At 39.7% G+C, this 17,185-nt stretch overlaps 1 protein-coding gene across 19 annotated transcripts in view, besides 1 other annotated feature; it reads right to left on the bottom strand.

Annotated features, from left to right (window-relative positions):
- FARS2 (phenylalanyl-tRNA synthetase 2, mitochondrial) overlaps positions 1–17,185 on the bottom strand; it is a 521,650-nt gene that overhangs the window by 240,955 nt on the left and 263,510 nt on the right. The window lies entirely within an intron of this gene.
- Positions 639–1,248: an enhancer, noted in NCBI's record as "NANOG hESC enhancer chr6:5529614-5530223 (GRCh37/hg19 assembly coordinates)". NCBI's record gives its function as "activates a minimal SCP1, AML or CMV promoter by ChIP-STARR-seq in primed H9 embryonic stem cells {active_cell/tissue: H9 hESC(primed)}" and the evidence as "EXISTENCE:reporter gene assay evidence [ECO:0000049][PMID:30033119]".

The raw sequence follows: 17,185 nt of genomic DNA, 5'->3' as shown, positions 1-17,185 counted from the left end.
TCATCTGAGAGTAGGTTACATACATCATGCTCCTTTACCACTGAATACTTCTGTGTATACTTCCCAAGAACAAAGATATTCTCTTATATATCCATAGTACAGTTATCAAATTCAGGATATTTCACATGGATGCAATAACCCCACCTTATCTGCAATCCATATTCAAATTTTGACATTTTTGCCAATCATGTCCTTGTAGCATTTTTTCCCTCCCATTAAGGATCCAGTTGAGGATCACATATTGTACTTACATATCATGTCTCTTTAGTCTTTATTAATCTAGGACCATTCCCTAGCTTTCCTTTATCTTATAAGACATTGACATTTTGGAGAATCCTGGCCGCTTGTTTTATAGAAATGTTCCTCAATGTGAGGTTACCTGATATTTCTTCATGATTGGATTCAGGTTCTGGACCCCAGCTGTAACACTACAAAAGTGCTATGATGTCCTTCTCCAGGTGACACATCTGGAGACCCCGATGCTTACTTATTCACTTCAGAGCTCCTCTAGATCATTTATTTTTTGCTGTAAAACCAACCACCCCAAAACTTAGTGGTTTAAAACAACAACTATTCACTTAGCTCAAAGTTGGCTGGCCCTTTGGACTTAGGTGGAAAGTTCTTCAGCTCTCAGCTGGGTTTACTCATGCATATGTGGCCTGCCGGAACTCACATGTCTGGTGTTGGCTGCCTGCTGGCTGGGGCAGTTTGGTTCTCTTACATCATCCAACCAGCTAGCTTGGGCTTATTTATGTGGTGGTTGCAGGGTTCTAATTGCATCAAGAGAGCAAGCCCCAGGGTGCAATCACCTTTCATGCATCTGTTTTCATCATGTTTGCTACTCCCCTGATGGGCCAAAGCAAGTAACAGAGCCAAGTCAGATTCAAGAGGCAGAGAAAGACTGTCTACTCAGCCATTAAAAAGGCTGTGAGAAGCCATTAGAGTGGCTTATCTTGCAAAGTCTGTTCAGCTGCTTTACTCTAATATTCATTTACTCATTCAAATGATAATTACTGTGACTTAGGCTGGGCACAGCGGCTGACACCTGTAATCCCAGCACTTTGAGAGGCTGAGGCAGGTGGATCACGAGGTCAAGAGATTGAGACCATCCTGGCCAACATGGTAAAACCCCGTCTCTACTAAAAATACAAAAATTAGCTGGGTGTGGTGGCAGGCGCCTGTAGCCCCAGCTACTCGGGAGGCTGAGGTAGGAGAATCGATTGAACCCAGGAGGCGGAGGTTGCAGTGCGCCGAGATTGTGCCACTGCACTGCAGCCAGGCGACAGAGTGAGACTCTGTCTCAAAAAAGAAAAAAAAGTTACTGTGACTTGTTTTTGTACAAAAAATGTGATAGATGCTTTCTGGCAAACAATACCATATAAAGGAAGGAGAAAGAAACATTGACTTGCTCATCACGAGTCAGAAAATATGACCTCATTAATTACCACATCAACTCTGTTAGGTCACTATCACTAGCTCCATTTTATAGATAAGAAAACTAAAGTTTAGAGAGTTTAATTTGTCCTAGATTATACAGCTATCTAGAAATAATTTTGGCTGCAAGCAATAGAAAACTCTATTAAAAGTGATCTAAATAAGAGACATTTAATTTCCATAAAAAGGATTCTGAAGATAGGCATTTCCAGATTTGGTACAGGAGCAAGAGGATGCCACTGAAGACCCTTGCTCTTTTTATCTTTCTGCTCCAACATCCTTAGCAGGTCAGCTTCCATTATTATTATGGTAATTTCATAACTACAAAATGGCTGGTCGATCTCCAGTCACCACGTATCAGTCAGGAGGAAAGCAGGAACAGTTCCAGTGTGCATGACTTACATACCTGTTGCTTTTATAGGGAAACACAAGCTTTCCCAAGGGTCCCCAACTGTCTTACATTTCATTGCTCCAAACTGGTTTGCTTGACCACCCTTAGATTTAAAGGATGTGAAGAGCATAAGTGCCTGGCTTTTCCAAACTCTGGAGTGGATGTATGTAAGGACAAGTGGTGCTAGGACTGCCACTGAGTCAGTCAACCAACAGCAAGCAAGTGCTCGATCTGGGATGTGAACCCAGGTATGCGTAACTCCATAGTTCAAGCTTTCAAGGGATGTTTACTTTGAAAGCAGAGAGAGAAAGACCTATAAATACATATGCAAATCAGTGCCATGAGTGTTAGAAATTAGGTTCTATGGGGTGACAGAAGAAGAAGAGGTCACTTTAAACATCCTGAACATGGATGTTTTGGAAAAGTCAGTCAAGTATGGTCTTAAATGACATGTAGGGGTTTTCAAGGTGAACTAGGCACAATGACATATATGTACCTGTAGTCCCAGCTACTCAGGAGGCTAAAGGGGGAGGATTACTTGAGCCCAGGAGTTCAAATCCAACCTTGGCAACAGAGTGAAACCTCCATCTCTTTTTTTTTTAAATACAAATTTTAAAAAAGGTAAAGATCTTCCAACAAGAAGGAAAAGTAAACACAAACATACGAAGATAGAAATGTGAAATGAAGATGAATTGACCAAATTGGGATAGGGTATTGCAGAACCTTTTGAAAACGTAAAGGGAATAGTTATGCCTTGCTTAGCATTTATTAATAGTTAAAGGCTAAATATACTGACTTGCATATGATCTACCAAGGACTCACATACCACCTCCTACATCTCCCTTTGACTAGCCCCCAGTACAGCATTATGTCTTTCATCCTTTTCCCTCAAATTTCAATCTAAGTTCCTGGAACTCAGAATTAAGTATTGTTAAGCAGATCATTGCAACAAACAGTTTTCATTCAGCAAAAGATACATTTCCTAACAGTTTACCAGTCTTGAACAATTTCCATTTTTCAGATAGAAGTTGTTTTTGTTTGATTGTTTGTTGTGGTTTGTTTTTAGTTGCTTGAATTGAATTGCATACAGAGCTTCAGGGAACAATATATTCCCCCAAATTTATAGGCAAGACTTTAAAAATCTGAGTGATATTTTAAGTGCATTAAAATGATCATTATTCAAATAATCACTTTCAACTTAATGTGCATTCTTCATATATCAGTTTTTATAATGTGAGTCATATCCATAAGAGGAGTTTGAGGAAACACTGTTGAAACATTGTACAGAGTTGTGAGTGTTGGGAAATATTTTCATTTACTTCAACTGTATTATTAAATTCCTTATTAACAAGAGTTATCAAAACTAGGCCACAAGTAGAAAGCTAACTAGAGTTTAGTGAGTTCACTACAGTAAAAATAAGTCTTTCGGAAAGAATAGAGCAGAAGGGAAAGGAAATTGAATAAATCCTCTGAGCCAAAATTATGGAGACACTATGACTGTAGGAGATATGCCGTTGGACGGCAGGGTCAACGCAGTCCCTCTGACAAATGCCATGAGACTTTATTGCTGTGATTCCACTCACAAAATAGACTTACAGGGTCAGTTCCAGCTTGGGAGAAGCACTGGCCCAGCACATTGCTGACTGGTGAGAATATAACCGAAGAGTTGACAGAAAGAAAAAAACAGTGGATATAGCAGTTGAATAACTTTTATGTATATCTATATAATACTGTATACATTAAGAAGACTGTCTGATTCCTTCCTGAGTGTGGAGAATACGAAAACCCACTGATAAACCTTTTAAACACTTTCACCCCTTGATGAAATTCTTGAAGTATTATGGTACATATACTTATCTGTTTCTTTCTGTTAAGAAACCAGGCATAGGCCAGACGTGGCGGCTCACACCTGTAATCCCAGCACTTTGGGAGGCTGAGGCGGGCGGATCATCTGAGGTCAGGAGTTTGAGACCAGCCTGGCCAATATGGTGAAATCCTGTCTCTACTAAATACACAAAAATTAACTGGGTGTAGGGGTGGGCACCTGTAATCCCAGTTACTCGGGAGACTGAGGTGAGATAATTGCTTGAACCTAGGAGGTGGAGGTTGCAGTGATCCGAGATCCTGCCATTTCACTCCACTGGGCAACAAGAGCGAAACTCCATCTCAAAAAACAAAAAAGGAAAGAAAGAAAAAAGAAAAAAGAAACCAGGCATAATAGTGGCTTTCATATCTCCACTAGAAAAATTGCTTTCCAAAATAAAAGTTAATAGTGCTCTATTTCTTGTCACACTGTTATAATTTTTTAACCAGGAAAGGAACTTAATTTAGAGTAAGTAATGCCACTGTCACTTAAATATATGAATGATAAAAGGGATCAGCTGCTCTAATTCCATAATTCCCAAGTAATGACAATTAATGAAATACTTTTTACTAGAGGGAGTTGTTTTAAGCAGTAGATAAAGGAGTCATTGAGCCTTTTAAGATTTATTCTCATAACCAAATTGCATCTCTCTTCATCATTATCCAAAACATAATTAAAAGATGACATTTAAAAACAAACTAGAAAATCAAACTGCATCTCACTCCCAAAGGAAAAGCAACTGAGAGACAACTCTTTCCTTCCACTTGAGCGCTGAGAGGAATTTGAGAGAAACTCCCATCTCTAACTTCTAACTTTTGTGCTTCAGCTGTGGCTCTGGAGCACCAATCTCACGTATCAATACAGGAAACACTGGATAATATTATCATTGAATCTTATTGGATAGATACTAATTGAGTAGTTTCACTGCTGCAGAAATATTCTTCAACCTTTCCAAAAAGAAAACAAATCAATAGGGTTACCTTGTAAAGACGTCTGTTTTCTCCCTCAGTTTGCTTCAGTAGCGTAAAATTTATTGAGTTGCACATTTGTAGTCTTCCTGTTAGAGCATCTATTTTACCAACTATCTACACCAACAGAAAAGGCATCTTTTAATATTTGCCCAAACACAAAATTCAGTGGCCTCTATAACTCCTTGGCTGAAGCCAAGTTAATTATCAATACACAAAATTTCTGAGAGAAAGTTAAACATCTTGATCCAATCTATTCCCAAGTATCTTAAGGGCAAGTAACTAAAACCTAGGCAAGCTCTTTGAACTGCTTTTTCCTCCTTATTTTTAAATCTTAATCTACTAGTTTCTGTTCCCCTCATTGACACTCACACAGTTTTCTTTATAAGACTTAACTCTAACAAAGTGTTTGCTACTGGAGGGCACATCCCTTATGAAGCTACGGTAATCAGAGGTTGATTAGAGGCATGTGGTCAATGCCACGCTGGAATTCTCCAGGGCCTGAGCCTCTCAGCTGTGTGCAACTACTTACAATAAAACCTGGAAATGCATGAATCATGTCGCAACACAGTCCTGAAGGGGCACTCTTCATTCACTGTGTTATGAAATATGCAACAGTCGGCAATGCTACAAAATGCCAGCTACTGATTTCCCACAGCAGGAAAGCCAGGGATGGAATAATAATCTAACCATAACAATAAGTCACTAATAATATTAAAAATACACCAAATGGATTTCTTTCTATCAACATAGAAAATAACAGTTTTTTTATGGGGGGAGCTCTGCTTGCTGGGAAGAATGCAGAAGCCAGGCAGAGATGGGAAGCAGAGGCTGTACGTCGGCAGCCATTTCTTTTCCAGGAATTTCAGAGGAAAGCGAGTGCCCGAGGAAAGAAGGAACACCACCCTTTTGCATTCTACAGAGGCCTATTTATTGGCCATTCCCTGCTCAGAGCTTCCCCAAGAAGCAATGCCAGCTCTTTAGTAGAAAGTAGAACACAGTGGTCTCAGGCCAGTGACAAAAAGCTACTGTAGAGTCACCAGGGTTTGCTTTCCTTCTCAGAGGAAAACTGGGCTCTAGCTAAGCTGCAGCCTCTTCCTGTCCTATAAGCATAGCCATACAGTTAGCTTAATCACACACTATTCACCTATCGAAAGAGTAGACGAGTTAAGAGCACAGACCCTGCAGCCAGACTAATCCTGGCTACACCATTTACTGGCTGGTGATCTTGGACAAGTTATTGAATCTCTCTCTGATTCAACTTCGCCATGTGTAAAGCAAGAATAATTGGCAGTACTTACCTCCTAGAGCTACTGTAAGGCCTAAATCAGTTATTACAGGGAAAGGGCTCAGAAGAGGACCTGGTGCAAAGGAAGGATTACAAAGGTACTTGTAAGTATTATCATCAGACAGCTCTGTGTAGATGCCAACACGTCAAGTAGCAATGAACATGCTCTGCTTTTAACTTGGGATTTGTCTTATGAATCTTCACTGTGAACAAATCACTCATATCCTACGTTAATACATCTTCTCTAAATCCTCTCATGTTCACACAGTAGCTTTTATTCTGCTTAGGGATTCTAGGATTCCCTGTAGCTTCCTCTGCCCAGGAAACCAAGGGCCTCTACATGACCAGCTCACTCTGTAGTCAGGCACTCAGTGCCCTCACAGTTCCTCTTTCCCACATATGCCCTTCATCCTTGAAACCCAGCACACATCCTCTTCCAAGTTCCCTCTCTCCTATGGGTCTCACTACTTTTAGTGTCTTATGGATTGCTCGCCTTAATATTTCCTTCCCATAGGTAACACTGCTATCTCTAAAGATGTGAATAGGAGTAGAATGTCAAGTGGTACATTCATTATCTATTGTCAGTAGAGGTTCCAAAGGCTAAAAAGAATAGAGGCTGGGCAGACTGTGAAACAGTGAGACCAGTCTTCTCATCACTCTCCTTTATGCTGTATTGGTAAAAACTAAGAATTCATCATGTTCTTGGAAACATGACCCCTTTGAAGAATTATCATTAGATAATTGCCTTTCCCTCACTCCTAGGGAAAAGAAACAGTGGCTCTCCCATCAAAGAAGTAGGGGGATTTGGGAAGCCACGTGGAGAACTTTGCATGTGTCTCCTTGGATTTGAGGGACCTAGAGACTAACCATCATCCATACCTGACAAACCCTAAAGGGTAAAGACAAAATGGAAAAGGCTATAGCAGTGCAGCTGAGAAAACACACACACAGGCACACACAGAAAGTGTGCTAGGTAACAGTAGAAAAATTGTGAGTTTGCTGTAGCCTAGATTGGCACCCAAGCACGCCGCAGCTGTCTGTGAGCCTCCATGAAAAGTGCCCTATGCATAAGGTCTGATGCAGCGGCTGAGCCGACCGCAGCAGAAAGAGCCCACAGGCATACCACTGAATACAGAGACCCTGAGCGGGGACCCAACCACCAGCCAGATATGACATCGCCCATGCCCGGGCTTCCAATCCAAAGTCACTAATGGGGAATCTCCAAGAAATCCACCAAAGCACTCCCATGAGAAAAAAAAAAAAAAAAGATAGCATATGTATACTGGTCACACCCATGCTGGTGGATTCCAACTCTACCAGTCAAAAAAGCCCTCTGTTGTCCTTGCCCTACTTCTCTTCTCCCTACCTGACCCTTCCCAGCTCACCACCACCATACCTCAAGCTTCTATGCCCGTGCAGGTGTTCTGAGCTGAAGGAGGGAAAGAAGCTTTAAATTAGACGGAAGACGGAAGCTTTGCCATTAGACTGGACTGGTCATGAAAATGACGAGGAAAGTTACAAGATCCCTTGAAATTTCACTCTGAATGAGGAAGACTCTGGCAGAACTCTGTGAAGGCAGTGGGATGTAAAAAATAAAACTATTCTAGAAGTTTACTTCCGCTGAGTCCAGCTCATTGAATGCAATGCTTATCACTATGTTTTACTTCAACCTTCCTTCTCTCCTCCCTTCATCCCAAATGTCTGTACTCAGTTCTCTTCTCCTTTCTATTTCGTTCGATCCCATATCTGGCCTTGTCTCCTTATGCCTCTAGCTAACAAATACTTGAAATATGTAAATACTTTATTCCTGGCTCAAATTAGAGTAGCACATCATGTTAAACTAAGTAGAAATAATGAAGAAAGAAAAATGAAAGAGATAAATGTGGGTTAAATAGGTCCAATTTCTCTATTTTTATTCCTTTCTTTCCAATGTTAAATCTTGCCAGAAAATTCATCCAGTTAGTCAAGAAAATGGCCACTCTTCCCAAGCAAATCCAATGCATCTTTTAGCCATGGCTACGGAATATAAGAAAGAAAACAGATGGAGGAGGAACTTAAAAGGACATTGGAATAGCGATGGATAAAAATAAGATATTGGTTGGCAAAGCCAAAAACATACTTCCGCTGGTCCGAGCACATGAAACTTCTATAACAAAATGTGCTAATGGGGCAAACCAAATTGGTATAGTTCATCTGTGGAACAATGATGCAGGCTGTCCCTTTCATCAACAAACTTTGTCAAGTCACATCTGGGCCAGTAAGAATGACCTACATGAGAGAAGATGCTGTATGAAAACCACATTCTCCTCTCCCTGGTCACAGAGGAAGCTGCATGGCCTAACCCCCTTGCAGACAGACTGGGGCCACATGACCTTCCTCTTGCTAGTGGCATCTAAGCAGACAGATAGACAGACTGTGAGCCCCTTCCAGGTCTGGGCTTGGGAGACCCTGCAGCTCTCCCTTCCCTTGCTGTGAGGGCCTTGGTGGTCATATGCTCCAGAGCTTATGACTGTGCATGGTGGACTCCACACTGGTCTCTCTCTGACTGAGAAATAAAGTGTCAATGAATTAAGTCACTTAAATTTCAAGGGGTTTATCTGTTAGCACAGAAGCGGCCTAGACTATCCTGACTATTAATCAGCCCTAACATTCTGGTACACAAGAGGAATCTGGAGTCACCAAAGAGTTACATAACCTCTGAATGGGACCAAACTCTTAAGGTCAATGACATTTTATCCTTGTCCTATAAAAATAATTTTGCTCACTAATTATATACTTTTCACTTAAGCTCTAGAGGAGGAGCTTTGCAGAGACTCGACCACTTATAAACAGTTATAAAGAAGATAATGTTCTTCAACAGTGCAAAGGTTCAATAAGCAAGACTGGTTAAAACATGAAAAAAGAAAATCCTTGAATGTCTGAGGACCTACACACTGAAACAGGTTACCCAGGGAGGTCGTATCACCATGAGTTCTGCAAGTCCCTATAATTAAGACTGACAATCATATACAGTCTTGCCTGTATCCAAATTTTAGTTAGTTTCCTGCATAGCTAGAGTCTTGGGTCTTGGCCAGAAGAGCTTTCCCGGCTTTATAATTCTTTGTTCAAGCAGTGGCTTTCTATTACAGGAAGAAAACAGAGGTAACTCTGGTGTGCATTCATCTGACAGCTATTTAGTGAGTGCTATCTATGTACGCATCAACACTGCACCCGTATGGGGACACAACAGGAAATAAAGAGCCCCTGCCTTTCCCTTTATACATTCACAGTCCAGCAGCTTTAGGGGCTATCCTCATCTTTTTTTTTTTTTTTCTTAGTAGAAAAAGACAAATATCATATATTGAACACAGCTTCTCAATTTGAGTGTCAACTGCCAACTGGTATTCTGAATACTGAATGTTATCAAATGTCAGTACAGAATTTCCCACTGCCTGGCAGCACCAAAACCTAAATCTTACATAAAACCTCAAAAGAAATCATCAGGATCTTCTTCAAGGCCCTAGGATTCAATTCTTTCAGAAATGTGTTCTTTGAAAGTTAAAAAAGAGAAACAAAATATAAATAAAAAAAATAATTTAAAAGGGAAACGAAGGATTTCTAAGAACTCCTACAAGTGTGCAAAAAAGCTTCTAAGAACCAGAGCTCATCTGTAGTGCGATTTTATCAGGAAAGAGGCAGGAACAAGACTATCACTCTTGTTGTTAAACAACACCTGTCAAAAGAAGCCTACCCTGATTCTTTTGGGGGTAGCATCCAAATCCATCATTTCAGCAACCAATTGAAATCCAACAGGACATTAAAAATATTCTGATTCACTAACACACATACATGTCAATATTCTCTGATTTTCAATTTTAATGAATTTATCATGATTTTTAATCAATATTTTACTTCCTTTTGGGGCTATATTTCTTTGAGAATGTGTCCTTCATGTGTTATTTTTCTCAGGAACTCCAAGGATAATTTGAAAAATATGGCTTCATCATTTTTCACTCATCAGATTGGCAAATGTGTCAGTTTGACAATGAAAAACATTGGCAAAAAGGTAGTCAAACAAGACTTCCATGCGCTGATGACAGAGGAAGGAGGGTAGACAACAGGCTTCATTTGTATCTATAATGTCTTCTTTCTTAAGCTGGTGATGTGAACAGGGTATTTCTTATATTATTCTCTATATTTTGTGCAATGTTTGAAGTTTTTCTTAATAAGAATTTTTAGAGTATGTCCTGTAACAGGACAGGTCACTTTGTTCACACACTGCCAAATATAAAGAAATAACTATGCAAGTCTAAGAAAGCAAGACACAAGCACTTTCCTAACTGGACAGCTCTGAACTACATGTGGCTATTCCCAGCAAGAGTGAGACTCCAGTGGGAAGTTGTGATTATCTCGTCACCAGGTGTAATTACAGCCTCTTTTTAAATGCCCACATGGGGGCCTCAGGAACCTAGAAATAATAACATTATTAAATTTAAAAAAATCAACCCCACATGAACCCAAATTCAGTTCAAACTCAATCTTTGAACTAAACTTATGATCCTCAGGTTTTGCTCACCCTAGGGTGCGGCAGGTTCCTCCTTAGTTCCAGGCCAAGAGAGGGTACTATTGTCCACCTCCCCTGAAAAAGTGCTAAGAGCACAGCATTGTGGGGAACTGGTCAGAACTGTTCAGCAGGGAGACCCCAGTCTATTTGACATGAAGCAAAGTCGAATTTTAAGGAAGTCATCAAAGGTCACTGCTAAAACTTCTGAGCTTGAATTCTCTCTTCTAATTTGGCTATTCAAAGCAACATAATAATATTACGAATAGATTCATCAACCACTTTCTCAATATAGCTTGTTATTAAGATCACACCGCAAGCCATCCAGTGAGGCACAATGGAACCAACATCATGATGGTATCTACAACCAGACAAATAAATTTGATGACATAAGGAGATACTTGTTTTATTTTATTATTATTATTTTAATCGCACAGGGGACTGGACTCAGAGTCATACTGCCTTTAAGAGTGTAGTTTAAGAAAATGGATACTTGGAATACAGAACTGCTCTTTTATTAGATACATCTTCTTCGTTGGCCTTGTTGGGAGTACAGAAATTAATAGCCTTATTTTTGTTCTAACTCAATCCTCACTCAGCAGTCTGTCTAAAATCATGACCTCTTTCTTCAACCAATCAACATGTTTAAAACCCTCCTATCACAAAAAAACCCCCCTTGACTGGTACCCCTTCTAGCATACTTTTACTTCTTGGTTTCTGGACAAGCTTCTTGAAAGAGTAATCTACATTCATGGTTTCCACTTCCTCAACTCTCATTTACTCCTCAATGCAACTAAATATAGCTGTGATCTGGCTTCTATCACACCATTCTATTAAATTATTTTCACTGACATTGACAAGAGCCCCTAGCCTCTGATGCCAAAGCTGCCTTCTAAAGCCAATCTATCTTACAGCAAGTTTCTGTTCTGACATGGGAAACAACACCCTTCCTTTGGGTTTGCACAGACAAACCACAGCTCATATACTCAGGGTTAGAGCCTGGTCACCATCCTTTCAGAGCTTTTGGGAAAATTTTCCAACCACAATTTTGCATTCTATCTAGAATTCTGTATGTTATACACCATATCAAGTATTATATCAATATTTTAGAGGTAAAATTTTACCACAAAATTATCACCTATTTTGTGCAAAATGGCTCCTTAAAACCTCAAGTATTACATCAGTTCACACTAATTTGAAAATCTTCTAAACATTCAACAAAATTGCAAGTGCTGCTACTGTAACCACTACAAAGCTTCTGTTTGCCTCAGAAATTCTTAGATTTCATAAGGAATTAGTTTTGCTGCTAATATTAACAAAAGCAGAAATCAATTTCATTAGGAATTATTAGTTACAAATGTTATATAATTATTTAAAATTATGAAGTAATTATGAAAAAAATGTATTTCTTGCATGATGCCAACACTCACATTACTAATAATAGAAACACTATACTTTCAACATTAATTATAATAAAAATTAGTGACCCTTGATGGAATCAATGATGGGTTTTTAAATATATGTGATCACTCACAGTCATATATATTCATATATTTTCCTCTGGTCCTTTCTTAAAAGTCAATGTTCTTCCAGCAACTATTTCTGCTTCCTATACTTCTCACTCTATATTCTCATAGAATTTCACTGTTTTAGCCACCACCTGATCACTTCCAGACATATTTCTCTAGCTCTGACATCCTTCCAAAACTTCATTCATCTACAGTAACTTCTTTTGAATATGCTACATCCAAGTTATATCAACATTTCCAAAATGGAACTCTCTCTTTATTCTTCCCAATACATAGTCTACTTCTCTGAAATTCAAAATCTCAGTTTTGTGACACAACTGCCCACCTGTCACCCAAAACAGGAATCCAAGAGTCACGTTTGACTACTTGCTCCAAACTCCAAATCCTGATCACCACAGTTATAGCCACTGCCCTTATGCAACCCCTCATATTTTCTCCCTGGATGCAGCAACAACAGCCTTCCAACCAGTACCCCAGCCTCTGCTGTGGAGCCTGGTGCACCATCACCCACACAGCCTAGAGCTAAGTAAAATGCAAACATGACCTCATGACTCTCATATTTAAAATTCACCAGTTTAAACACCTTATTCTGAATCTGCTTAGAGAACAGCACCCAAGACTTTCCATGCCCTAATTTCTGCCACTCTCTGAACCGTCAACTCCTACCACATCTTCCTGTATGAGTTATGTTCTAGCACAGCCCAGGCCAAGGCGGGGACTTACATTATATTTCTATTGGGCTGGACTATGCTAGAGTGTAACTTGAATAGGAAATTTTTTAAATGTTCTAGCTACATTTAAAAAGTGAAAAGAAACAGGCAAAGTTGATTTTATTAATATATTTCATTTTACCTAATATTATATATCTAAAATACTCATTTCACCATGTATTTAATTTGGAAAATTATGAGATATTTTACATTCCTTTTTTTGAACTAAGTCTTTGAAACCCAGTATGTGTGTATGTGTGTGTATATATATGTCTATACTTTTTTTTTTTTTGAGACTGAGTCTCACTCTTGTCTCCCAGGCTGGAGTGGAGTGGTGTGATCTTGGCTCCCTGCAACCTCCACCTCCCAGGTTCAAGCGATTCTCCTGCCTCAGCCTCCCGGTAGCTGGGATTACAAGCGTGTGCCACCACACAAGGCTAATTTTTGTATTTTTAGTAGAGACAGGGCTTCTCCATATTGGCCAGGCTGGTTTCAAACTCCTGAACTCAAGTGGATCTGCCTGCCTCGGCCTCCCAAAGTGCTGGAATTACAGGCAATGAGCCACCATGCCTTGACCTCAGTGTATATTTATACTTAAAGCACATATCTGTTGGAACAAGCCATATTTCAAGTGTTCACTAGCCACATGTGGCCAGTGGCTATGGACAACGTAGCTCTAGCACTAATAAAATGCTTGATGTTCTTCCTCATAGACTGTGCTTTTTTACACCTTTGTTCTTTTTTCCAAACTTACTCATATCATTCTTTGAAATTCAGCTCAGACAGCCCTTCCCATCTCCCAAACTGTGCGAAACGCAGACACTCTTCTTCCTTCCATGCTCATATTCCATACCACCACAGTACCTCCCAGGGCACAATGAATGCATCTATCTAAACTTTTGTCTCTCAGGCTAGAAGACTAGTTTCTCCAGAACAACATCCTACCAGATCTACTCATTTTTATACCCCAAGCATCTTGCAAAATGCTTATACATAGCAGTGGACAGATACGTCTTCACTGAATTCACAAGATTCAGAGTAGCATGCACACCACTGAAGCTGGAATTGAAAACTTAAATTGGGGGGGTTCCTGAGTAAACATATTATATCCTTGGTTAATTAAAAAATGCAAAGTTATATTGCAAAGATACACAGCTCTTTTATAGGTTCTCTTTCAATATAGAGCCTCCTTATAACATGATACCTATGGTCAGAGCTTGAGTTGAATAAAGAAATTTTAAAACTTTGGAGTTATAAGGGATCTTAGGCATGATCTAGTTATTTTGCAAATGAGTACAAAATAGGTGGAAGAGTTTAAGTGACAAACACAAATTGGAAAAATTAGCTAACACAGAATAGCACCGTAATCAGAAAGGTGCCCAGGTTCCTAGGTCCCTATAGCTTTCGTTACAGCACTCCGCTTCTGTGGCTGTGTCAACTATGCACATTAATCAAACAAAATGTATAATTAAAATCCATTTACAAATTAGAGAGAACCTATACTATTGCAAACCCTTTTGGTTGTTGTTGCTGTTACTACTGCTGTCAATTACTTCCAAGATGACACGGCAGAGAACATACTGTTACACGAATATTCCTTGTGCTACACTTTCTGGCCCCTCTATAGTCTAATGGGGCTACGTGACTCATTCTAGCCAATAAAGTATGTGTGAAAGTGAAACGTGTCCCTTCTGGGCAGAGACATTCAAGAGCTGGTGTGACGATTCCATGCTTCTGTTCCCTGACCCCAGAACTACTATTGGGCTGGCACTGCCACAGTCTGGAAGGGCCCTGGCTGCTTATGCTGAGTTACCACATGGAGGGGTCAACCACTGCAGACTCGGAGCATTTGCAAGAACAAGACATAACCTCGTTGTGCTAAGTGATTGAGGTTTTGAGATGTTTTTTCTGTTGCAGCAGCTCATGCTTAATTACCCTAACACAGCAAACTAAATTACACACATAGGGCTGTGCATCTTGAAGTTGAGTACTGTAACAAATGTAATTAATATGATATAAATTACTAAACGTAAACCCACTTAAAATATTTTTCTATTTTTGTTTTAAAATGATATGCTAAATTATACATTAAATTTAAGACGTATCAGGTATAAAACCTGATTAAAGTCCTATAAAATTATCAATGTCTAAAACACACAGTCAAAATCAAATGCTGGGCTGGGCACAGTGACTCACACCTATAATCCCAGCACTTTGGGAGGCCAAGGCAGGCAGATCACTTGAAGCCAGGAGTTCAAGACCAGCCTGGCCAACATGGCAAAACCCCCTCTCTACTAAAAATACAAAAATTAGTTGGGCGTGCTGGTGCACATCTATAATCCCAACTACTTGGGAAGCTGAGGCACAAGAAATGCTTGAACCCAGGAGATGGAGGTTGTAGTGAGCTGAGATCACATCACTGCACTCCAGCCTGGGTGACAGAGGGAGACTCTGTCTCAAAAAATAAAAATAAAAATAAAAATAAAAAAACGCTGAATCAGGTTTCAAGCACTACTTTTTCTAAAATGGCAATATCCCCATGAAATGACTATATCATAGTCATTGTCTGAGTCTAGGACCTAGAGTTTTCGTTCCACATGGTAATCATACACCATGAGAAATTCCTATTGGCAAGAGTTTCATGGAACTTCAATTAAGCTTCATTTGTTATCTCTGAGTAGCAGTGCGGTGTCACATTATTTCCAGAATTACAAAAAAGTTTTTATTATTACTGTCAGATGTACCTCTTTCAATTTTACTATTTGCTATTATTTCCCTATGGCCACATAGATTACAATACGTCCATCTTTAATTAAAAGCCACAGATGGAGTTTCGCTTGAAGGCTTGTCCGTGTAATCCCAGTTACTCAGGAGGCTGAACCAGGAGGACCACTTGAGACCAGGAATTCAAGACCAGTCTGGGCAACAGTAAGACCCCATCTCTTGAAAAAAAAAACAAAAAACAAAAAACATTTAGCCAGGCATGGCATGCACCTGTACTCCCAGCTTCTTGGGAGGCTGAGACAAGATGATCACTTGAGCCCAGGAGGTTGAGGCTGCAGTTGAGCCATGTTCATGCCACTGCACTCCAGCCTAGGCAACACAGTGAGACTCCATCTCTTAAAAAAAAAAAAAGCCACAGATGTCATTTTGGGGGAAGATTAAGAATGTACAATTTGAATCTCATGACTGTACCCATAGGGATGTCAAGGGATGTCAGTATAAGACTGTAGTGGAACATTTGGAAAGAGAGTTGTCAATTTCAGAGAAAATTCTCTTCACCAGGTACAGCAGCTCACAGCAATAGCTAATTTACAAACTGAAACCATGATTACTTTGTGTTTCAACAAAAATAGTTCAGCCAATTGTGGGGTGAATTCCCTAAGGCCAGAATGTCCCAACTTTAAATTCATACTGAAAAACTTTTAGACATTTAGAACAGATTTTCATGAATGTTTAGACTTTTAAATGCAGCCAAGCCTCTCTAAATAATAAATGCAATTAGGCAAGTCCCAATTACTATTACAGAATGACTATGCAAGACAAGGCTACCCACATTTCTGAGACGATCAAGAATTTTGTCTTTTTAATGTTCCTCTAAAGTAAATTTCCTTCCATTAGAAATGTGTACTTGGAGAGAATTTCATTATAATTCACAAAACTTGCTTTAACTAGGTGGCTGGCAGATTACTTATGCTTCATTTAAGGGTTTGGCTGCATATTTGTGAATCTGTAATACACACAATATTTCTTTAAACTACAACACATCTGGCACATTCCTAGATTCACTTTATCATATATATATATATATATATGTCCAGATTTTTATGTTAATTTTCTATTTTTTCCCTACTTTACTGCATTGTATACTCTCCTTAAGTATCCTCAAACCTCCTGTATACCATGGGAGAACACAAATCCCCAATGAAGAGATACAACAGTGCATTTGGCTGGATCAATAGTTGTTAAATTTTTTTTTTTTAGATAACCTAAAGATACCTCATAAAGTCATTTTTTCTTGAACTCTTGTGATCTGTAATGGTACAGAAAGCCTTCCCCACCCTGGGAACCTGGCAGGGCCCTGACTAGGGCCTACGTGCCCACTTAGACAGCAATAAACTCTGAGAACTCAGCATTCATTTTCTGTGACTGAGGGCTGCTGAATGAGATCAGGAAACTAAACGCTTAATAAACAGTAGTTACTATGACGTTACCATTCTTATCACCCTGGACAACCTGCTGCCTCCCTGCACACACAGAAGAGGCTCAGGAACAGAAGGCCACAAGGCAATGCCAGGAGTAGAAAAAGGTAGAGGCAGCAGCCAGAACGAAAAGACACAGGCGCCCTGGATGGCATTTGAGACTCGAACACAAAGAGTGCAAACTTCTCTATTTTCCCTGATTGCCTCCAAATCATTCTAGACCTTCGGCTAAATATCACTTCTTCAGGTGGCCTCCCAT

The sequence above is a fragment of the Homo sapiens genome, chromosome 6 (assembly GCF_000001405.40).
Source record: "Homo sapiens chromosome 6, GRCh38.p14 Primary Assembly".
NCBI lineage: Eukaryota > Metazoa > Chordata > Mammalia > Primates > Hominidae > Homo > Homo sapiens.
Note: the sequence above shows the minus strand (reverse complement) of the source record. Positions and strands in the feature narration are given on the sequence as shown.